Here is a 25,101-nt window from a genome sequence, read left to right as displayed (position 1 = left end):
TGATCTTGTTGATAGCAGTTGGCTCGGTAGCTCTGCTTTGAAAACCTAGTCCCATTCAATTTTAGGAGGAAGATGTGTGTGTTGGGAGGGCAAGATGACATATACTTCTTCTGAATTTTCAGATGAGCACAACAGTTCTATTTTTATTATGAAGAACAAATCATATATATTCTATATATATTCTAAATATATACTCATATTTAAGTTATAAATTATCTAGATATGTATATATTTATATATAGATATAGATATGAATTATCTAGACATTTATCTAAGCTTGGAAAAATGTACATTGGAGAACCACATAATTCATTAAAAAGAGAATTTGAATTTTTTTAACTTTATTTTTATGTTATTTTGCCTTTGTATAGCAATTTTACTTTGGAATTCCATTCTAAAAGGATAAGGCTACTGATTGCAACATCATTTATGTATATAATAGCAAACACTAGAAATAGTATCAATATTGAACCATGGACAGTGGTTAAATCATGATATTTTATTAGAATGAAATTCATAGAGTCATTAAGAATAATGTTGTAGAAAATATTAATTGACATGAGAAGTCACTCACAATATATTGTTGAGTGAAAAAAAGATTATAGGTTATGATACCGTTTTTGTCTACTCAATGTATACCCAGAGAGAGAGACAAAGTCTGGAATGGATTCAACAAAATGTTATCAGTGATTTGTCTTTGGGTGCTAGATTAAAAACTATTTTTTTCTTTTTGTTATATGTATTTTCCAATTTTTCTACAATGAAAAGAAATCACATTTATAATAATTTTAAAAAGTTATAAATCAGAACTGTGCCGCCTGGAGTTTAGCACAAACACGGGGCTCCAACTGGGGCTTTGCCATTGCCAAGGAAAGCGGAGAAACCAACTGTTTGGTTTCACACATGACGCTGGTGAGGCTGCAGCCAAGGGCAGCATTTGTGTATGAGTGTGACCATTGAGACCAATGCCCGGGAACCTGATCGTCACTCACGCCCACGTCCTTTCCATACTGTTCCCAGTCTGGTTAAGATGCTGCTCGAAAGATGCATTTTTTTCTCTCAGCAGAGAGAAGTCTGAATCTAATTGGGTCCTTTGCTAGCTACACCATGCATTTGCACCAATATTTATCCCATCTGTTCCGAGAGTCTGCTCCCCATTACTTACCAAAACTGTCAATGGCTCCCCATTATTTACAGATTCTTTGGCCTGGCATGCAGGGGCTTGTGAGGTCTGCTCCCAGCCTACCTTCCCAGCCACCTCTCCTTTCAGCTCCTTTCAGGTACTTTCTGCTCTAGCCAGCTTGGACTGCTCACCATTTTCTAGTGACTCATTTAGGAGGCTTTCAACCACCGTGATCAGAAACCCAAACTAACTTCTACAGAAAGGAAATGTATTTTTGCATTCTCTCATGTTCCAGGGATTCCAGAGGATAGGTGGGCCACAGGGATGATTGAATCAGCAGCTCAGGGATGTCAGCAAGGACCCCCACTTCTCTGCTCTGCCATTCCTAGTGTTAAATTCAACCTCAGGCCAGAAGCAATTGGCTGCAGCAGTTCCAAGCATCCCGTTCAAGCATGGAGATGCCTTGAAGAGAAAGGCATTGTCTTTCCTGTGGTCTTCTCCTGGGATAAGAAAACTTTTCCAAAAAGCCTTTCTAAAAACCTCTCCCACACAGCTCCTTGGCCAGAATCAGAACACATGGTATTCCCAAACTGCTCACTGGTGTAGTGAATGGCATTAACTTTAGTCTAGGGAAGAAACACATCCCTAAACAAATCATTCAAAAGCAAGGCATGAGGTGATGAGTGCCATAGAGAGGCACTCACAGTGAGCTGTGTAAATGTGGGGCATCAGGGAAGCCTTCTTGGAGAAGGGAGCTCTCCAATTATTTTGTATTCACTACAAACACTCTACTTAACCAACCCCCTGCTATGGGACATGTAAGTTTTTTCTAATTGTTCCATATGACAAAACATCCAGGCGGTCAAACTTTAATTTATTTTCAATCATTTGTATGGGATAAAATTTTAGAAGTAGAATTATAGCTAAGACGAAGTGTATGTATATCTTTTCTTTTCTTTTCTTTTCGTTTCTTTTCTTTTTTTTTTGAGGCGGAGTCTCACTCTGTAGCCCAGGCTGGAGTGCAGTGGTGCGATCTCAGCTCACTGCAAGCTCTGCCTCCCAGGTTCACGCCATTCTCCTGCCTCAGCCTCCCCAGCAGCTGGGACTACAGGTGCCCGCCACCACACCCGGCTAATTTTTTGTATTTTTAGTAGAGACGGGGTTTCATCGTGTTAGCCAGGATGGTCTAGATCTCCTGACCTCATGATCCGCCCGCCTCGGCCTCCCAAAGTGCTGGGATTACAGGCGTGAGCCACTGCACCCAGCAAAGTGTGTGTATATTTTAGGAAACACACACGCGCACACACACACACACAGAGACACATACATATTTATCCCTTTTTAGGTCTCAACTATGTAAATGCATCATAGTTTATTCAATCAATTATTGGACAAAAGGATATAGAAAATTATACTGCAGTGAGTAGCCCTGTGCATATCTCTTCTGGTATTTTTGCCACTATGTCTTTGGGATAGATTCCTAGAAGTGGGATAGCTGGGTCAAAGGGTAAATGCATATATGATTTTGATAGATATGGCCAAATTCCCTTTTGTAGTGATTATATTATGTCATTTTATATTCCCACCAGCAATGCATGACAGTGCCTGTTTCACTAATCTTGTCAGTCGTCAAACTTTTGGAATGCTATCTCAGTGTCCTATTCATTTGTGTTTCCCTTATTGTAAGTTATATTGAGCATCTTTTCATATGATCAAGAGCTATTTGCATTTCTTTTTCTATGCCAGTCTGTACATAGCTCTTGCTCATTTTTCTATAGGTTGTTGCTCTTTTTAGTCTCTCTTTTTAGAAGTGCTTTATATATTAGGATTGCCCTGTTGTCTGTGATACAAGTTGTTAATGTTTCTTTTTCTTCAGCTTGTCATTTGCCTTTCACTATTTTTTGGTGTGTCCTGCTATGCAAAATTTAATGATTTTTAATTTTTGTATAGTCAAATCTATCGATCTTTTTCTTATGGCTTTTGGATTTTGAGTCATAGGGTAAAACCTTTCCCCATTCCTAGGTTATGGAAGGACTGACCCATACTTTTAATACCAATATGGTTTCTTTTTTCCCTCCTTCCTTCCCTTCTCCCTCCCCTCCCCTCCCCTCCCCTCCCCTCCCCTGCCCTGCCCTCCCCTCCCCTCCCCTCTCCTCTCCTTCCTTCCTTCCTTCCTTCCTTCCTTCCTTCCTTCCTTCCTTCCTTCCTTCCTTCCTTTCCTCCCTCCTTCCCTCCCTCCCTCTCTCCACGTTTAAATCTCTGATCCAATTAGAATTTATCCTAGTGCATGATGTGAGGGATGGTTCAAATTTTATCTTTTTCCATCTGGCTATCCATTTATTCCAAATCATTTTTGCACTACTGATTTGTTTCATCATACATTAAATTTTCTTATGAAACTGGGTTGATTTCTGGAGTTTCTATTCAGTTCTATTGCTTTATTTGTATGCCAATACGACACATTTAATGATAGAACCTTTAAAACATGTTTTAATATCTGCTAGGGCTAGCCCCATTCTCCACTTGTGCTTCTTTTCCAGAGATATCCTAATTACTTTTGCTTACTTGCTTTTGAAATGAACCATATAATCAACTTGTTAAGCTCCAGAAGAAAAAAAAATATTTTTATTAGGATCACAATAAATTTGCAATTTAATTTAGGGAGAATTGACATCTTTCTGAATTTGAGACTATCTAACCAAGAATATTATTTTGTTTATAAAATTTTGTGTGTGTGTCTTTGGAGAATGTTTTCACTTTTCTCGTAAGGTTTTAGACATTTGTTAGATTTATGTTAGGTGTTGGTGTAAATAGGCCTTATCTTCCATTTTATTTTCTAACCAGTTTATGTTTGTAAACATGAGGTTACAACTTTTCTATAAAACATTTTATTTTTATATAATTCCAGGCGTATAGAAAATCCAAAAAATTGTGCAAGGCACGTACATATATGCCTTTACCCAGGTTCAGTCATTGTTTACATTTTGACCCATTTGTTTTATCATTTCTCTCTTTCTCTCTCTCTCTCTCTCTCTCATATATATATATATATATATATATATATATATATATATATTTCCCCCAAACCATTTGAAAGTTAGAGATATTGTGTTCTTTTACCCCTAAATACTTCAGTGTGTATTTCCTAAGCACAAGAACATTTCTTTTATAATCACAATATAGTTTTCAAGTTAATAAAATTTAATATCATACTCTACTATTTAATCTGCAACTGATATTTAACTTTAATCAATTGAACCAATAATGTTGCTTATCCTCTTTGCCTCCTCTTCCCCAGCTCAGGATCTATTTCAGGATCATGCAATGCATTCTGTTGTCATGTCTCTTTACTTTCTTTACTCTGGAACAGTTCCTTGGCCTTTCTTGACTTTGACATTTTTGAAGAGTATGGACCAGTTATTTTGTAAAATATGCCTCAGTTTGGATTGAGATGCAGTTTATTCATGTTTAGATTCAGGAAAAGCTATTGATTTCCATATGTTGAATTTTTAAAAAATAAATGCTGTTTATTTGGTAGACATTTGCTTTCTAAAAATGGCGTCCAAAACCCCCCATAAAATCAACAAAGGATTTCTTGGTTGTAACAAGGTTGATGCCTCTCAATAGAGTGTAGTCTCCTCATTTTTTGGGTCTGATATTCTGGAAAAAGACTATCAGGGGGAATGAATATATTGATTTTCATAATGTGCTACTAACTACATTATTCTATTATCTGTGGTAAGTTTTTTTCTAAATTCCCTTGGGTTTTCTACATATAGAATCAGACCATCTGCATATAGAGGTTGTCTTACCTCTTCCTTTCCAATTCTCATGTCTCTGTTTGTTGTCAGAAATCTATAGGGGTATTTGGATTTTGGCCTCTAGTTAATGCTTAATTATTTTCTGATGGGCTCTGACTGCTGATTTACTGCTTGAGAGGGACTGAATATTTCCAGGAGAAATTTGCTTTTCCTATAGGGTGTATATAGGCAGGCAGTGGTGGTGGCTGGTAAGATGGTGAACACTGTGCTTATCCAAATCCCCAAATAAAACAGAATTCAATGGGAGAAGAGTAGGATTATTTGCTACAAAGCACGGAGATGTGTTCTGTAATCATGGAAACATTCAGTGAGGGCGCACTGTGTGCTACAGCTTGTGCTAGGCAGTAGATTACCATTTGGGGGAAAATTCATTTATACTCCATTTCATATCAGAGGTGAATTATTCCGGATGTAGTAAATGGCCAAATATATAAGAATTCAATCAAACACAAACATATAAGCAAAAAACATAAAATTTCTGGTGTTTAGGGGAAAGCAAGGAAGGTTACAAATGATTGCAGGAATCACAAGAACAAAGACTGGCAGATTTTACCACATAAAAATTAAAATTGTTTTTGCATAACCAAAATGGAAAGGCAAACTATCAGATAGGGTAAGAATAAAGAGTTAATATTTATTTGGAAGAAATACACATTAGAGCCTTAATGAGGTATAGTATTTTGCTTATTAACGCTAATGTGTGTGTGTGTGTGTGTGTGTGTGTGAAAGACAGAGAGAGAAAGAGGGAGAAATGTTACTTATAAATGTAAAACTACATGGCTATACTGAAAACCAAAAGGAAAAGTTCAAAGGAGCAAGAATGAGAAAGAACCTTGAGTGGTCAGGAAGGGATGAAGCCATTTGGCCAATGAAAGCTGGTACAAGGGCTGGGGTGTGAAAGCCTGCAGAGAAGCAGGAGTTGAGCTTGCCTCAGGCTTGGTGGGGAGGTACCCACTGTCAGACCACATTGCCACATAGTTCAAACCAGTGGTTCTCAAAGTGTGGTCCCTGAAGCAGTGGCATCTGCATGGCCCAGAAATTTTTTACAAATGCAAATTCTTGGGTCACATCCCAGACCTACCGAATCAGAAACTCTGGGGATGGAGTCCAGCAATCTGTTTTTTAATGAGGTGATTTCATTGCATGCTAGAGTTTGAGAACTGCCAACTTAAACTTAGCTCAGAGAGGAGATTTTAATAATTACTATTAATTTCATGAATTTATTCAACAAGTATTTATTGAGTGCCTGTTGTGTGCCAGGCATTGTTCTAGGCTCTAGGGATACAGAGGGGAACAAGACCATTAAAGTCCTCATTTTAGTAGTATATCATAAGCTTTTAGCATCTTCTTCCAGTAGTTCCCATGTGTCTTGTATTATTTAATTATTAAATATCTGTCCAGTTGGTCAAGGCCTATATCCTGAGCATTCTCCTTTTCTTCTCACATGCCACCCCAGGAAATCTTGTTGCCTCTTCCCTCAAAATACATCCAGAACTTGTCCTCTTTTATCACCTCCACCGCCCTGACCTTGGCCCAAGCCTCTATTATCCACAATAATTGAGGTAAGTGATGATGGAGGTAGGAGTCAGAGTAGGAGAGGAGGGGAGGGTGGCAGTGGAGATGTGCTTCAACACAGCCACTAGAATGATCTGCTTAGAATCCAAGTCCTATTGTGACACGCCTCTGCTGAATACCTGTGTGACTCTGTATTTCACTCAGAATAAAGCCTCAGTTCTTCAAGTACTCAGAGTAAAGCCCAAATCCTTCCTATCATACAAAGGTCTCCAAGACTGTGTGTGATATTCCTTCGTCCAGCCCAACATCTACACAGAAGCCACTGGACTCTCCCTGCCTTGATGTTTCTTTAACCCCACAGGGAGGCTCCCACCTGACAGCCTTTGCACTGGCCAATTCCTCTGTCTTTTGAACACTTTTTTCTCAAATATCCACATGGTGAATTCACTGACCTTCAGGCCTTGACTCAGATGCGACCTTCTCAATGGCCTGGACCGTCTTATTTAAAAGTATCATCTCATGCTCATTGCTTGCAGTCCTTGTTCCCCTTACCCTGCTCATTGTTGTTCCCACAGCACTGAGATTCATAGGTGTGACACAATTTACACTTATGCTTTGCCTGTCTCCCTCCCTTAGAAAGAAAACTTCCTGAGGACAGAGATTTGTCTATTTTGTTCTTGGCCCTAACCCCAGTGCTGAGAACATGGTTTGGCATGTAGTAGCCTCTTCATAAACATTTGTTGAATGAATACATTGTTTGATGTTGTGTGTTGCTATTTTATGATATTTTCTGGCAATTTATCTCAGGTTCGCAGGAATTGTTTATTATGTATCAATTTGACATCTGCAACTGTTTACCTTACTTAAGTTTGGGATTGATTCCCTTAGATTTTTAGAAGGTGATCTTCTCTTTTCCTTTTCTATGGGAATTTCTTTCCATGAGCATCTCTAATTATAGAGTATCTCTAATCTCTATTAAAAACTACAATATCCTGTTTTTTAGAGGGGGCATGCCCTTCTATGGTTTCTCCATTGAGATTAATATTAAATTGTTTATATATAATGTGTTTTTCTGTGTGTGTGTATCCATTCTGAGTCTTCAGAAATCTAAAAAGACAGAAGTATAAAAAGACCAAGCCATGGCTTTGTGTGTCTTCTGAGAAGCGCTGTGGTCTGCTAGATATATCTGAGCTACTCAGGTTCCAGCTGCCTCCATCTCACTGGAAGTTCGAGCTATTTCCCACCTCTGGAACAGGTTTCCCTCATTGGCAAAATGTGAACCAGGACGAACTCATCCAAAGAAGGCTGTTTCCACTGTTCTAATACAGCCACAAAACCCAGTTTTTGCTGCTTTGTCTATTAATGTGATAGATTAGGCTAATAATTTTCCTCTTGTTGAATCAATTTTGAAGAAAGAAATGACGATGGAAAGATCATGAGATTTTTGAATAGAAAGAAGCTGGATTAAAATCTAATTTCTCCCAGATAAGCTATGAGATTTAGAGTCTCAATGTCATCTTTTGAAAGGGGAGATACTTATCTAAAATATTGATTGTGACAATTAAATGAGATTGTAAATATGAAAGAGCTTTGCAAACCATAAGATGCCATGAAAACTATTATTGTTGTTATTATTATAACCAAAAATATAAAGCCTTACTAAATTAATTGTACTCTATCAGTATTACTAATTGAAAAAGAACATGAGGCTTTTTCTGCTATTCTTTTTTTTTTTTTTTTTTGAGACAGTGTCTTGCTCTGTTCCCCAGGCTGGAGTACAGTGGTGTGATCACAGCTCACTGTAGCCTGTATCTCCTGGGCCCAAGCAATCCTCCTGCCTCAGCCTCCCAAGTAACTGGGACTACAAGTGCACACCACCACACCTAGCCAACTTCTGAAAAAAAAAAATCTGTAGAGACAGAGTCTCTCCCATCTTCCATGTTGCCCAAGCTGGTCTCAAACTCCTAGGCTCAAGCGATCCTCAATTGGGTTTCCCAAAGTGCTCAGATTACAGGTGTGAGCCATTGCACCCAGCTTTTTCTGCTATTTAACCTATCATGTGTCATTTGAAAATGTCTGGATGCCAAGCAACTCCCTCAATATCCACTGCTGAAATCTAAATAATCAATATCATCAATATGCTTACTAGAATGTTATACTTTCTGATATCTCCTGTGACCCTATCATAAGAAACGAGGGCATCTACATTTCGGCAGTTGCTGTACCCAACACACAGAAACACTTAGTACTAATTAACCATTGGTTGACTTTCTGACATGGCTATTGGCATTTCTTGGTACTTGGGTGAGGAAGTAACAATATTATATTGACTGTACCTATCATTCACTGCGTTTTTCTTTTCCATACAAGTTGGCAGATGTATTTTCATTAAAGGTGGTGGTGGTGACTCTGAGGCACAACATGTGAAAATATCTTTAAAAGATAAGCATCTATAGTGGAAATACCTTTGAAATGAGCACCAGAGAACCTGGTTTTCCTAATCCCAACTTCACCACTAGTTGAGAGAACCTGAGCCAGTCTCTTAACACATTTACCTCAGTTGCTTCACTTCTAAAAGAAGAGATTTAGAAAATATGTCAGGAGCCTTCCTAGCTCTAAAAGTCTATGATTCTAGCTAATGGAATGAAATCTTAACACTTAGAAAACCCCTAAAGCCACCCAAATAATAGTTAATACGATTTAAAAGACAACACAGTAATATCAATCTAAGACAGATTAAAGCAAAAAAGAACTCTTACTACATTTAAAAAGTAATTAGTTGGAAAAAGGCACTACATGCAAAAACTAAGACCCAGCTACAACCTGAGAGCTGTTAAAACCGTTGGCTTTCAATACTATTAAGGGCTGAAAAGAAAACAAAAAAGCTAATTAAATTCTGAGCTTTCTAAAGGTAAAACAAATTCAGCATCACAGTGAACCACATTTTAAACAGCGCACAGACATTAGAATCAATCTAGTGCCAACTCATGTAATGCAGGCAGTAGAGGCTACCGGAGCTATCTGTGCCTGCCCTTGGAATCCCACGTGACATTTCAAAAAACACTGGGCACTGGGAGCTAAGTGCATCTGGGAAGCTGAGTGCTGCTTGGCAGAAGTCCCCAGGCTGAGTGCCTTGGGCAGAAATCCCCCAGTTTAGCAGGAGCCCAGAGCTTACACAAACTCCTGCTGGTCACTGGTCAGAGGGAAGGGGTATCAGACACAGTTGACCCCAAAACAATGTCTCCTCTCCTGAGTGATCAGAATGGGACATGCTGACCGCTCCACATACCTGTTAGGTTTGGAACTCACAGCTGCTCATTTCCTGGCAGTTGATAAAAGCCTGGAGCAAATATGTCTGAGAAGAGCTTAGGCAATGTGTAAGAATGCTTGATCTAAGCCCTTTGACAGCCTGGAGAGATGCTGAGAATGTCTCACACAGCTCGTTAGCATGGAATCTGTAGGCTTTCCATTTTGCATCTAGGTTTACAAAGTGGTTACCTATGAATAAGAAGTAGGAAAACAAAATGAGACAAGCTGACAAAACAACTTGAGTCAACACCCTGATTTATCTTGAGGGACTATTCTCTCTTCCACCCCAATGGTACTTCCTACCTCCTAGTTACCTTTTATTTGGATGTAGATTGGACTATGTATTGGGTAGAGAGATAAATCTCAAGGATATAGCAATCATTCATTTGTTTAACAAATATTTATTGAGCATCTTCTATGTGCCAGGCAGTAGCCTAGGCCCTGGTGAACTTTATGAAACAGGTTTCTGGAACACCCATTATTATTAAACACTCTCATTAAATTATGCTTGTTCTAGTGTGAATATCTGTAACAGACACAAACATGCAACACTTCAAATGAATTCACAATGCATTTGTACTTTGCTGCGAACATGTCCAGTGTAGATTAGAGAAACTTCCTTTGAATATTATAATTTAAAAATTTGAATTCAGTATTTGTTGCCCAAACCACATGATTACAACATTGAGAGAAATCGAGATGTTCTTATGGGACTTTCTAACAGATGTTGAAGGGAGATTTGACATAGTAAGTGGGGGAACACGTATGGATATTTGCTTAGAGTGTTCAGAAAAAGCATCCTCGATAAGTGATGCTTAAACTGAGCTTCAAGTAGAAATGGAATTGGCCAAGAAACGGCGTGAAGGAGAGAGCCTTCCAGGGAGAGGGAACAAGAAGCGCAAGGGCACAGCTTTCAGAGGAGAGCAACAGAACAAGTGTCACATGAAGCAGAAGAGTGAAGGAGAAAAAGGGGAGATGTGGGTGGAAAGCAGATGATGGAGGCAGCAGAATGATGGGGTAACATCAGATTTTTATTTTTAAAAGACTACATTGGACTTCTGGTAAAAAGTCTGTTTACTATAGTCTCCAGTGTGTAACCTATTAAAATAATCCACGGAACATAAAGCAGAAAAGAAAAATGCATCTAGAAGAAATATAGCTAGAGCTACAAGTACCAATCAGACTAGAGAGAATATCTGCCAAATTGGTGAATTTGGAATCAATTTGAAGAAGAATGCTGAGAGATGATACATAACCCTCCAGATTTCAGGCATGGTCCAGATTTCTCTAAAAGTAAATGAGATGGGCCTCCAGTTGTGAGTTAGGATTTTCTGCGAGCCAGACATACCTCCTGTGTGGGTGGTCTGCTTATCTGAAATGGGCAAACAATGAAAATTAGAAAAAAGACTATCTCTGAATATATTCAGAAAGAATGACCCAGGACAGACACTGTCAGCATTTCAGATCACTCCTTTGCCCCAGCCATGCAGACCACTCTTGAGCAAGTAGCAGCCTCTGGTAGAATGACCCCATTCTCAAGGGAGAGGTAAATTTAAAAGACCCACTATGGTACCTATGCATAGAAACTATGAAAACGAAAAGAATGAAGGAAGTTAAAAAGTGAAAACCAGATGAGGAATTTATATCTGACATGGAATTATTCCAAGCTATGAAGAAAAATTACTGCAGAATAGAGAAGAAAATTCCAGATAAATATTTGTTAAGGCTAGGTGTGGTGGCTCACACTTGTAATCCCAGCACTTTGGCAGAATGAGGTGGAAAGATTGCTTGAGGCCAGACGTGTGAGAGAAGCCTGAGCAACACGCAAGAACTCATCTCTACAAAAAAATATAAAAATTAGCCAGGCATGGTAGTGTACACCTGTAGCCCCAGCTATTTAGGAGGCTGAGGTGGGAGGATGACTTAAGCCCAGGAGTTCGAGGTTGCAGTGAGCTATGATTGTGCCACTGCACTCCAGCCTGGGTGACAGAGAGAGACTCTGTCTCTCTAAAAAATAAAAATAAAAATACTTGTTCCACCCTTTAAGAAGTTAAAAAGAACATGGCACCTTTGAAAAAAAAACAGAGAGATAAAGACTCAAGGAAGAGATTCTAAGATAGCCAAAGGAGAAAAAGTGAGCTGGCAATGTTTAGGAAAAAAACTGAAAACTACAATAAAACCACTATAGAAAAAGAAGTCACTTTAGAAGCTGCAATAATCAGATTCAAGAGCTCAAGGAGAGGCTTGAGTAAATTAAAGAAGCTGTAAAGATGTATATAAATTGTTAGAAAGAAAAATGATGGTCATGGAAGATAAAGGCCAACCAACATAAGCATAGCAATGTTGCTGGAAAAGAACAAACACATAAGACATAAATGCATTGAAGGATATCATAGAAGAAAACTTTCCTATAATAAAGCAAAAGCTGAACCTGCAGGTTAAGAGAACTGAATCCAGAAAGGAAAAAAAAAGACAGAACCAAATAACCCTTAGATATATGTTGAGTTACTAAGCTTCGAAGACAATGTTATATCTGCAATTTTTATTCCATATAAAGAATTCCATGTAAGAACCTCAAGCTTGTCTCTGATTTCTCCATTGTAACATTTAATCTCAGAAGACAATGAGAAACTGTATGCAAAATTCTTTTAGGAAGTTTTACCTAAACATTTTGTATTCATTAAATTATAATTTATGTATGAAGATAAAAAGCAGACATTCTTTAAAAAAAAATCCAGGAACTATAGCAGCTATGAGCCCTTCTTAAAAAAAATCTACTTGCTGACAAAATCTAACTCATAGTCTCAGGAAAATGACCACAGTCAGTGGTATTGATTTTTTCTTGATATGACCCTGTGCTCATTTATTTAATAATAATATTAGTAGTAATAGTAGTAACAACTACCATTTATTTGATACTTTCTAAATGCTAGGCACTTTCTAATTTACTTATTTTCTTAATCAACCCTTATAGCACCCCATAGAGTAGTATTCCTAATCACCCCATTTTATAGTAGAAGAAACAGTTTTAGAGCTAGTATGCAGCCAACTCACATGATGATTTCTTCATTTTCTGGCCTCCACTTATGTCTCTTTTATCACTTTAATCTGTGTCTTTTTGCTATGCATTCTGAGATTGCCTCAGGCTTATCCTCCACATTACAGATCTAATTTTCTGCAAAATTAGTGCTGTCCTTTACTGCTTCTGCCAATTATCAAATTATTCTGTAGCATTATCTTTACATATATCCTTTCATTAACTACCTTATTATATATTAACATATTGTTTTACCATCTCATCTTTCATTTCTTGTTTCTTAGAAGCTTTGCTCTTATTTCATCAAGGGTATAAGGCAGATGCTCTCCAAAATGTACTTCTATGGCCTGAGAAAAATGTGTATTTTAGGAACAACCTTTTTCTATCTCTGAGTGTTACATTTATCCTCTAAGTTGTAGGAGATATTTTATAGCCCTTCTGTGGACTGTGTGTGTGTGTGTGTGTGTGTGTGTGTGTGTGTGTGTGTATGTGTGTGTGTTTATATCTGAATATTTGGTCCTATATTTGCCCAAAATTAAGGCAAGTGAATTCTCCTTAGGTCTTACTTGGATGAATCTAGAATCCTTAAGTCTTTAACTGGAGGGCTGGTTGATTGTAGTCCTCATTCAAGGATGCAGCAGCCTATGGGTAGGAGGGATCTTGTACAAGGCGAAGTTTATGTTAACAAAACTTGCACCCAAATCTCTGTCTGCCTTAGCCTTCAATCCATGAAGGCAGAGTGTCTGTGACCGACAGCCTGCTTGTATTTCTGTCTTCCACATCAGGGAAAGCTGGCCATATCAGAAAAGAGCAGAGCCATTTAAGAGAGACTCCTGCTCAGAGTGAAACCCTGCTGTCTTGGGTTTTCTGCTGAGTGCAACAGGTTTCTCCTGGGCTGCCAGTACAGCTGATTCCCAAAGATTTTTCTATGGCATCAAGTGCATTTTCAAAGTGAAGTGGTCCCTGCTCTCTGGTGGCCGTGTCTGTCCTCCAGCCTTCACCCTTCACAAATTGGGGCTGTCCTTTGCCTTGGAGACTTTCTTCAATGAGGTGTCCAATTATTCCATTTGAAGATTAGAAATTACTCAAAATTCATAATGTGGCCAGGGTGCAGTGGCTCATGCCTGTAATCCCAGCACTTTGGGAGGCCAAGGTGGGTGAATCACCTGAGGTCAGGAGTTTGAGACCAGCCTGGCCAACATGGTGAAACCCCGTCTCTACTAAAAATACAAAAATTAGCTGGGTGTGGTGCTGGGTACCTGTAATCCAGCTACTCAAGACACTGAGGCAGCAGAATTGCTTGAACCCCGGAGGTGGAGGTTGCAGTGAGCAGAGATTGTGCCATTGTACTCCAGCCTGAGTGACAAGAGTGAAACTCCATCCCCGCCTCCACCAAAAAAAAAAAAAAAAAAAAAATTCATAATGTGGTTGAGACCCTTCTCTAGTATTGACAAGTGTTGTTATGCGCCCCATTTAAAAATTGTTCATGTGATAATTTCACTTGTTTTCTTAGGGGAGCCTAATGTTTCTATACATTGCAATATTTTCCCTCCATCCCTTATGCCCATATTTCAGCTTTTGACACCTGCTCCTGGTCTCTCAGTTGTGGCCTCATCAGATGTTCTTCTTTGGCTCTTTGGATTCAAATCCACATGTGGCTCCTTGTTCAGCCCAGCTTCCTAATGCCAGGATGAGCTGCTCTTGAGGGGAAAGTCCTCAGCCAACCACATTTCAGTGACCCCTTTAACTGGATATTTCTGTCTTGGCTTCCATTCAGGGTTGGAAAGTTTGGACAGATCTCAATAGTTTATTGGGATCTCCGTTTTTCTTACATTTTGGATAAAATCTTTATTTGACATAGATCTTAATCCTTTATTGGCTTCAATTATTTATCCCTTATCTGTTCTCTTTCCTTTTTTTAAATGAAAGTGTTCAACTGAGTTTTCAGATGCTTTGTGACCTAAAAGGGACTGGGATCTGGTAGGAATCAAAGTTAATTTAGAATCTGAAAGCTCATGCCTATATTTCCTTGGCAGAATTGAAAGTGACTAAAAGATTCTGTCAGTGTGATTCAACCCAGCTATTTTGTAAAGCCCCGGGCATGGGTAATGATGGGGGCGGACACCCAGAAATAGCAGCCTCGTCTATCATGGATGCAACTTATCAAAGGCCACAGTCAATGAACAAACCCGCTCTACTTATGTCTACTTCTGCTAGAGTCAAGACATGCCCACAGATAAGGAGGGAGTTTTCTCAGGATAAGGTCAGAGTGAAACAACCTCCATCAGAGGAAAAGCTGATTCCTAAGAAGGGGGAAAAACAAGCTAATGTTTTATGTAAAAGACAAAACTGGAAGGTATTGGGCCCTATATATAGCTGCTTCTCTGTTAGAATTGCCCCAGAGTTATGCTGGGATTCCAAGAAGAAGTGATTCACCCATTCCGGTAGCCTCAGGGCTCTGGACCAATGGTCAAGGCGGGAATGTGATGAGTGATCAAGCACTCTGTAGCACCTTGCTTCTCTCTCAGGGCTTTGGCTGCATTCCCAACATAGGCATCTGAATATATGATAGAGAAAGATGTCTTCTGAACACCAAAGGACTGCTCTGTTCAGCTGGCCAGGAGAAACAGCTATTTGGCGTGTAAGGAGGACAGTGATGGGGGAGCTGATCTGAGCTGGGGCAGCTGATGTGACATCAGCTTTGGCAGGGGAGGTGCTGACAGCAGTGGTTGGGACATGGAATTGTGTTGACAGAAGTTGAATCAGCAGACACCAGAGCAGCAGGCAGGAGCTTGCATGAGTTGTCCCAGATACAACATTCCTCTCCCTGTGAACGTCCAACATGCATAATGTCTAGCTAGTACTAGAGTAAAGACAAATCGATGCCACCCACTACCAATGGAGGAAACCAGCAGCTGGCTCTCTAGCTTCGCTGCTTGCAAACTGCCTTTCAGAACCCAGCCATTCATAAGTAGTAGAATTTCTGTGTTCAGGCACACACACACAAAAAAAGGAACTACTGGCATTTTCATTACAGGTAGTCATTCATTTGGCAGCCACCATTTCTTTAAATGTAAGATACTTCTGATTGTAAGATACACAATTATTTCACCCACACTAGGAAAGAAAAATGCTGCCAAATAAACTATGACATATGAATGATTGAAAGATGGATCCTGATTTCAAATTTGTAAAAATAGGAAAAAATATGCATCTTTGAGCTGGTAAAACACAGTGTGCATCAGGCACTGGGCTAGGCATTGAACATAGGGCTGCAGACCAGATAGATATCAAGTCTGGCCTCAAGCAACGTATAGTCTGGTGGGATGATGGATGTTGACAAAGCAATTACAAGTGTGTTGCAGGGCCTGGAAGAGCATGGGGTCTTCTCCAAGGAAGTGACATGAAAGCTGAGACCTGATGGGGAGCAGGAGTTAGCTAGGTGAGGGTAAAGGTAGAATTTTCCAGGCAGAGGAATTAGAATGTGCAAAGGTTCTGAAATGGGAAAGTGTTAGTGTGAGCAAGGACAAGAGTGACTGGAAGCAGAGTCAGGCAGGGCCAAATCCTGCGAAGCCTCTGGCCCATGTTAAAGAATTGGGTTAATCTAAGAGCATGAGAGGCCACAGAGAGGGTTTAAGCAAGCGTGAAACAAGATCAGATCGTGTTTTTTAAAAAATCACTTTACTTGCAGTGTTGACGTGAGAGGAGCATAAGAACAGGTGCATGGAGATCAGCTAGGAGGTTTTTGAGACAATTCAGAGAAGAGAGGATAATGGTTTGTAATAGGTGCTGGCAGTAAGAATGGAAAGAAATGAGGCTGTAGCATACTTCAAAAAGGCCAACAATTTCTGTGATTTGTATGTCTGATTTTTTTTTTTTGTGGGAGCATGGGGTGGGAAAGATTCAATTGGTATCCAAAAAATATATATATATATGGACTAAAGAAAATTATCGCTGCAGACTGGAGCCAGCTTTTGATTTTCCAGTGTTAATTGTGACTTGTTTGGAAAATGAAATTCCCATAATTTGGATTTTTCTTTAATCAAGATACACTGCTATATTAGGGCAAAAATGAGCCCAGTGTTTCAATAATAAATCATCTCCTTCAAATTTATTTACTTATTTCTCTAGATATTATTGCAGTGATTTTAGTTAGCTTCATGTTCATAAATGTAAATTGTGAATTTTATATATTAAATTATATTAAATTTTTTTTACGAGCATCCTAACAACAAGCAGTCACTTAAGGAAGACTTTAGTGATAAAGTATTTTGAATTTGTCTGGTGGTATTAAGTGCACGTTTACAAAATAAGAGACAATTATGGTGTGCTAGAAGATGCATTGCCCTAAAAATAAGAAGGCTTGGTTGAATCACAGCTCTCTTAACTTACTAACTGTGTGACATTGGACAAGCTATCCAAATACATTTCATCTGTGAAAATGAAGAAAGAGGATCTCTCTAGCTACCTTACAGGAGCACATGAATGTTAAATAAGATTCATAACAAATATTAATTGACCTCCTATCATGTACTAGGAGGTCAGTACATGAGGCCAGACAGAAGGAATACAGTGGTACACAAGACAGCCAGAGTAATAATTTTCAAGGAGATTCTCATTGCAGAAAGGGAGATGCATATTACAAATTTCTGTAGACATGTAAAATAGTGTTATCATCAAATAGTAGGGAGTATTGTACTTTAATCTTATTAGAGAATAACTTTCAAAAATATAAAATTACTACTTTCTCTTAAATATGAAATGAACATATGTCAAAGATTTTTTAACTTTTATTTTAAGTTTGGGGATGTATGTGCAGGTTTGTTACATAGGTAAACTTGTGTCACGGGAGGTTTGTTGTACAGATTATTCCATCACCCAGGTATTAAGCCTAGTACCCATTAGTTATTTTTCTTGATCCTCTCCCTCCTCCCACCTTTCACCTTCTGATAGGTCCCAGTGTATGTTATTCCCCTCTATGTGTCCATGTACTCTCATCATTTAGCTCCCACTTATAAGTGAGAACACGTGGTATTTGGTTTTCTATTCCTGCATTAGTTTGCTAAGGATAATGGCCCCCAGCTCCACCTATGTCCCAGCAAAATATATGATATAGTTATTTTTAATGGCTGGATAGTATTTCATGGTGTATATCTACCACATTTTCTTTATCCAGTCTAACATTGATGGGCATTTGGGCTGATTCCATGTCTTGCTATTGTGAATAATGCTACAATGAACATTCACGTGCATGTATCTTTATAACAGAATGATTTATATTCCTTTGGGTATATACGCAGTAACGGGATTGCTGGGTTGAATAGTATTTCTGTCTTTAAGTCTTTGTGGAATCACCACACTGTCTTCCACAATGGTTGAACTAATTTGCACTTCCACTAACAGTGTATAAGCATTCCGTTTTCTCCACAACCTCACCAGCATCTGCTATTTTTTGACTTTTTAGTAATAGCCATTCTGACTGGCATGAGATGGTATCTTATTGTGGTTCTGATTTGCATTTCTCTAATGATCAGTGATGTTGAGCTTTATTTCATATGATTGTTGGCCGCATGTATGTCTTCCTTTGAAAAGTGTCTGTTCATGTCCTTTGCCCACTTTTTAATGGAGTTGTTTTTTTCTTGTACATTTGTTTAAGTTCCTTACAGATGCTGGATATTAGACCTTTGTCAAATGCATAGTTTGCAAAAATTTTCTCCCATTCTGTAGGTTGTCTGTTTACTCTGTTGATAGTTTCTTTTGCTGTGCGGAAGCTCTTTAGTTTAAATAGATTCAATTTGTCAGTTTTTGCTTGCAATTGCTTTTGGCATCATTGTCATGAAATCTTTGACTGTGCCTATGTTCTAAATGGTATTGCCTAGGTTTTCTTCCAGGGTTTTTATCGTTTTGGGTTTTACATGTAAGTCTTTAATCCATTTTCGGTTAATTTTTGTATATGGTGTAAGGAAGGGGTCGAGTTTCAATTTCTGCATATGGCTAGCCAGTTATCCCAACACCATTTGTTGAATAGGGAATCCTTTCCCCATTGCTTGTTTTTGTCAGGTCTGTCAAAGTTCAGGTAGTTGTAGGTATGCAGTCTTATTTGTGGGTTCTCTATTCTGTTCCATTGGTATATGGGTCTGGTTTTGTACCAGTACCATGCTGTTTTGGTTACATGTCAAAGATTTTATTCAACTCATTCATTAGTGAGGGAACCACTAAGATGTTAAAACCATTCCAAAGAAATTTTGAGAAGTAGAATATTATATTTATGGGCAATATTAGAATGATTGCTAGTTTAGATATCAAACCTATCAGTGTCCAACAGGGCCATAGACCATAACTCACTGGGATTATCTGTTCTACCAGACAAAAATCATTTTTATCTCTACAGACAAAAATCTATAAGCTGGTCACTGGCCCTACAGAGTTGTAAAATAACCTAGTTAATAGAAAGTTAGGCCCCAATGAGGATTGAAAGAACACTCTAACTAACCTTATTTGCCTGTTTTCAGTTTCAAATTATTTCTCTCACAATCTCAAGTTCTCTTTGTTTTATTCCTCCAAAAGGTCATGTGAATATTAAAATATTTTGGAATAGGCTGGGCGCAGTGGCTCATGCCTGTAATCCCAGCACTTTGCGAGGCTGAGGTGGGTGGATCACGAGGTCAGGAGATCGAGACCATCCTGGCTAACATGGTGAAACCCCATCTCTACCAAAAATACAAAAAAAAAATTAGCTGGGCGTGGTGGCGAGTGCCTGTAGTCCCAGGTACTTGGGAGGCTGAGGCAGGAGAATGGCGTGAACCCGGGAGGCGGAGCTTGCAGTGAGCAGAGATCACGCCACTGCACTCCAGCCTGGGTGACAGAGTGAGACTCCATCTCAAAAAAAAAAAAAAAAATTGGAATATTAAGATACATTTACAATAATTTTTATCTTAAAATATCACTAGGATTGTGGTGGACATTCCAGTGAGCAAAAGTGAATAAACTGGGGGAAAGGATAGTAAATGAAATGCAAAATGGGGACCTGGGAGAAATATAATTAAAAACTCAAGTAACCCAAGAATATTCAGAGTTTCCCAAGTTTCAGAGCATCTCAGTAGATTACTACTTTATAATAAGGCCTTCCCAAAGCTCCACTGGAGCCTGCCACCAAAATTACCTAGCACATTTCCAACATTTCAACAAGTAATAATAGTAATATTCCCAGATGTCAGTGAAGTTATTCTATTCTTTAAGACTTAAAATAATGTTGGGAGAGTGACATCAGTAAGATGGTGGAACAGGAGTTCCCTAGCTTCTCTCCCTGCCCCAGAAATTCAACTAGCAATTACCCACAGGCAAGAATATCAATGTGAAAATTCCAGAACTTGGGAGTGAGGCTGAGACATCGCCTTAGACCACAGAATTGAGAAAAGCTGCAACCAAACAGTTAGAGGACTGATTCTGTTTTGACTACACTGCCCCTCCCCCAGACTGGCACCATGCCACATGCAGAGAGTTCCTCTGGGCCCATGGTTTCTGCAGTGGGAGGGGTGAATTAGAAGCAGTCATTGGGCTTCCCCATCATTCTAGGACCCTTTGTAGGAGGTTCACTCCTGTCTTGTCCTAAAACATTGAGAATGCTGGCAGGGCTAGACCAGTTGGAGACAAAAAATGGAGGTGGGGCTCACAGCGACCAGCAGAGGGATCCTGATGGTTGCTCTGCATTCCAGCCAATTAAGTGACACCAGAGAAACTAGCCAACAACATCACACCACAGGAAATATGGTACAGATTTCCAAAAACTGTACTACACAACCGGAGGAGACAACCTGGAACTCTCTCCAATCAGAAACAATCAAAGAGCCTAGCCAGAAGCCCCTCTTAATGACAGAGTCTAGCCAGTGGTCTCACCAAACCACAGAGCACAGCCAGTAATGCCATTTGACCTTAGAACAAAGGAAGTGATCCAGTCCAACTAGGGAGCCTGACAACAAGGTCTACCCATCTGGGGTTGCAACCAGATAGCCCATCCAGAATCCCCAGCCCTAAATAGTAAAAGTCTGTCACCATCAAAGAACACCTGCAAAGGCTAGAAGAGGTGACCATCTGCTCAAATGCACAAGCAGCAATGTAAGGACACAAGGATTATAAAAAGTCAGAAAATATAATATCACCAAAAGAAACTAATAAATCTCCAGTAATAGGCCCAGAAGAAAAGGAGATATATAAAATGACTGACAGAGAATTCAGAATAGAGTAATGTTGGCTTGAGTCCCTTCCTTCCCTCCCTCCTTCCCTCTCTCCCTCCCTTCCTCCCTTCCTTCCTTCCTTCTTTCTTTCCTTCTTTCCTTCTTTTCTTTCTGTTACCCAGGCTTAAGTGCAGTGGTGTGATCACAGTTCACTGCAGCCTCAAATTCCTAGGTTTAAAGGATCCTCCTGCCTCAGTCTCTCAAGTAGCTAGGACTACAGGCACATGTCACCACTCCTGGCTATTTTTATTTTTGGTAGAGACAGAGTCATCTTATGTTGCCCAGACTGGTCTCAAACTCCTGTCCTCAAGTGATCCTCCCACTTCGGCCTCCCAAAGTCCTGGGATTACAGGTATGAGCCACCACACCTAGCCTGATACTTTGCCCATATTCTGTGGGAAGTTCAATGTCCTTTCCTCCTCCTAAGATATCTATGAATTCTGGATGGCTTATGTTCCAGGGCTACCTCTAGCTCTAATTCCTTCCCTCATTGATGTATTATTCTCAAACACATATCGTCTTCACCTCTTCATTGTACTTATTAGTACCGAGTGTAGTAGACTTTACTAAAGTAAGGTGAGATAAGGGAATGTGTTCACATCCTAGCAGTTGATAACAGGATGTTAAAACAAGGCTCTTTCTGTCTGTGTTTTGTTTGAGGTCACAATGGCTGGCTAAGAACAAAGTAATAGTCTCAAGTATCTCTACATCCTTAAGCAGAGTGTTGGAATAGACTGTGCAGGTCTTAAAAAGACCTGTTGTTTTTTTTTTAAAACAACAACAACAACAGTTTGCTGATTCTTAGCCCATCACCCACCCTGAAGGCATAAGAAGGTTGAAGCTGGAGGGGCTAAGAGAGAACCTCTTTGGAGAAAATTGGTTATGCAATGCAGCTTTTTTTCCCTTACTTCACAAGGAGCGGGGTTGGGTTTTTTCTCCCTACTGAGAGAGGGAGCCTTAAGAGAACCATTCAGGCAATTTGACCTGTGATTCTTGAAGTTCTGTAGCACAGAATTTAATGCCAGGCCCAGGCCTAAAAAAAGAAAAAAACACACACATAGGCAAGAGCCTGCTTGAAAGAATCTATGGCAATAAATGGAAACTGTGTTGGGAGCAAGCTGCACCTCTATGAGTAGTGGGGTGCTGGGTGGATGAGAGTATCTCAGGGACCAGATCCAGACATGGTCACAAGGGAGGGAGTCAGCTTGGAGTCATCCTGGATTCCCTCAAAGAGGATTTCCCAGAAGGGCAATAGAAAGATCCTCCATATACACAGCGGTTGAGGGGAAGCTTCACTCACATCAGGCGGGATGCAGTCAGAGGCTGCAAAGGAGAATGTCTCAGGGACATCATGAAAGCACCCCTTGGGGACAGAATCAGCACTGGGACTCTGCTCTGCTCAAAGGGCACCGGCACCTGACTGTGTCTGTGCCAGCCAGGGAGCACATTTCCTGTCTATTCTTCTCTCTGCACTCCCTCTCCACTTTCCCCCTCTTATTTCCAGCCCTAAGAGGGCAAGAGACAGCCCAGTGAGGGGGTAAGAAATAGAAGACCAAGGTGGGGAAACAACAGGAAAGAAGCTGACCCGCCATGGGTCTCCAAGTTTGAGGCAGGCCAGAGATGGTGGGTGAGGGAGAGAAACAGAGAGCTTTAACTTTGAATGCAGTAAAGTTTCAACAGTTGCATTTCAACTGTTCATTTTATTTACTGAGAGGAGAATGTCTTTGTGATTGGAAGCATCGGGACTTTTTGTTATCTGTGAGTTCCTAGAAAGGTTAAGGGACTTGCCTAGACTTGCATCCAGGGACAGAGAAGGAATGGGCCCTCACAGCAGCAAGCGCCTTGATCCTATATGTTTGGGAGGGGGTGAAGGGAGGCTGGGTGTGGTTTCAAACACCACCTTCCCTTCCATCTTCTGGGTGCTGAGGCTTTTGGTTTGGGCGAGGGAGGAGGGGAAAGGAAAGAGAAGATGTCTCTTTATTTAACTGGGTAAGGTTGTAGCCTCCGGGGTGGCTCACGGAAAGTCAAACTCATCTTCTGCAGTTTTGATAGGACAGTGGTGGCTTCAACATGACAGGTTGATTAGGGACTTGTGTCCAGGAAGCTCCTTTGGCCATTAGAGGTCCCTTGAAAAGTTTGGCAGCAAGTTTCAACTGAACCCCAGCTAGTGGACTTCTCACAATGTTCCTCTGATATGGATGCCTCATTGTCCTCTACATGAGGGCAGTCAGGGACCTCCACATATGAGGAGGCTGGGGAGACTGTCTCTTTTTCTCATTCAGATTACACAGCCTGAGCAGTGATAAAGAAATGAAATGCTGGCTCTTCTCCTTGCAGGCATCTCCTTTCTTTGTGAATACTTAGAGAAGGAAAACACATAACCTCAAGAGAGTCTAAGAGCAGGAAGAACCCCCTTAGCCTTATGGGAAGGGAATAGCCTGTCTCCACAAATGCAGCACTACCACAAGGCTGATCCTCTCTCAAGCTTCAGGTCTTTTCTTCCTATGGAGTTTGGGTATGGGTGGTGGATCTGGCAGATGATTCCGGAATTAGCACTCTCAGTAAGTCCGTGTTGTTGTGGCTGGGCCTGAACATCCAAAGTGGAGCACCAAGTGCCTTTTGCTCTCTCCATTCAGGGTCTTGGCAGCAGTCCTGGGGCAACAGGAAAATCCCCAGTTGACACACCTGTTACAGGACAGCTGTGGAAAGCCTGCCTTAATAGTCATGTCTATCTCACTCTCTGCCACTGGTACTTATAGCTCTTCATCCATCAAACTATCCAAACAATTTAAAAGTTCATTTATATTTCTTGTCAGTAGCCACTCTCGAGTTAACATGCACCATACATATATTATTTACCAGGTGAGATAGAGCTACTGAGAAATAGGCCCAGGATATAATAAAAAGGAGACATGTTGGAGAGAATCCTCCTCTGGACAGTCCTTTTTATAAAGGTCAGTGGACTATCTTGTACACCCTCCCTTTGCAGGCGGGAACTGATTGTTTTGAGGGCAGCAGTTTTCATGTTTGTGTGTAAGCAACTCAAACAATAATGATTCCTCGGATTAGTTTAAATGTGCCTATTCCTCCTCTGTGACTAATTAAGACTGAATTCCGTGCATACAAGAAGCTGTTTGGCATTTGCTGGTATCTGTGAGACCTGCTGTGTTTGATTAGCCACTATTAGTTCATAGCTGTTGGACACACCAACCGACTTCCAAGATTGCCTCAATTATCAAGACACCTTGTCACCTTTCTGGTGAAGTTTTAACATCTTCACATAATCCCAATAGAGAGTGTGTGTTTTAAACTTGGTCTTATCTGGAAGACTAGTAAAAACATTGGGCACTTCCTCCTTAGGTGGTTAATGAAGTCCCCGGCAATTACAATAGAACAAATTACTTACAAATGGTTCCTATTTTTGTCAGTGCTAAAAATACTTTTTCATTTATATTTTCTTCCAGACTAATGTCCCTTTCCAAGGTGGAGAATTGAAAAAGAAAGGATCTGAATACCAACCTTATTAGACTAACAATGCAACATTTAGGAGGATAAATTAAAAATGCATCTATGAATTATAAATAATGTATAACCTCGCCATATAATATGGTGCATCCACAAAAATGCTGCTTTTTTTTTTTCTTAGGGGGTAACTTTTTTTACTTGTGGATTTGTATTAAAGTCCCAAGTCCTGGCGGTTGGGATCGATGGGTAGAGCTTTTAATTGGAGCTCTCTGGTGATTATCTAGATTGGCACCTGCTGTCAATCAGCTTCTAAAGAAATTACTGAGCCAATGATTAGGCTGATCCTGGAGATGTTAGGCCCCTTGGGGGCAATGTTAAGGCTCCCAACCACAGGGGAACCCTTAAGAACAGTGGAGCTATAATTTTCCAAGTTGCCGGCTTACCTGGCAACATACATGCTCAACTTTCTGGCTGAGTGAACTCAGAAGGATGATATCCCAGCATACATTGGGTCCACATGATTTTATAAGCAAAACAATGCTGCAAGTCCCCTAACAGCTTCCATTAGAGTAAAATGACAATACCCCATGTATGTGT

The 25,101-nt window shown here is 40.0% G+C and overlaps 1 long non-coding RNA gene across 2 annotated transcripts in view; it reads left to right on the top strand.

The window, feature by feature from the left end:
* Positions 1 to 771: 771 nt before the first annotated feature.
* LOC107987011 (uncharacterized) overlaps positions 772 to 25,101 on the top strand; it is a 71,633-nt gene continuing 47,303 nt past the window's right edge. Inside the window, exons 1-2 of one of the 2 annotated variants that reach the window (XR_001746548.2) lie at positions 772 to 1,280; positions 6,401 to 6,506. This is a non-coding gene — a long non-coding RNA (uncharacterized LOC107987011). Of the gene's footprint in view, positions 1,281 to 4,357; positions 6,507 to 25,101 lie in introns of those variants that run through there. The other variant, XR_007061697.1, reaches the window with a different exon arrangement.

Source organism: Homo sapiens, chromosome 9 (assembly GCF_000001405.40).
Source record: "Homo sapiens chromosome 9, GRCh38.p14 Primary Assembly".
In the NCBI taxonomy this organism is placed as follows: domain Eukaryota; kingdom Metazoa; phylum Chordata; class Mammalia; order Primates; family Hominidae; genus Homo; species Homo sapiens.
This window is presented reverse-complemented; position numbering and strand designations above follow the sequence as displayed.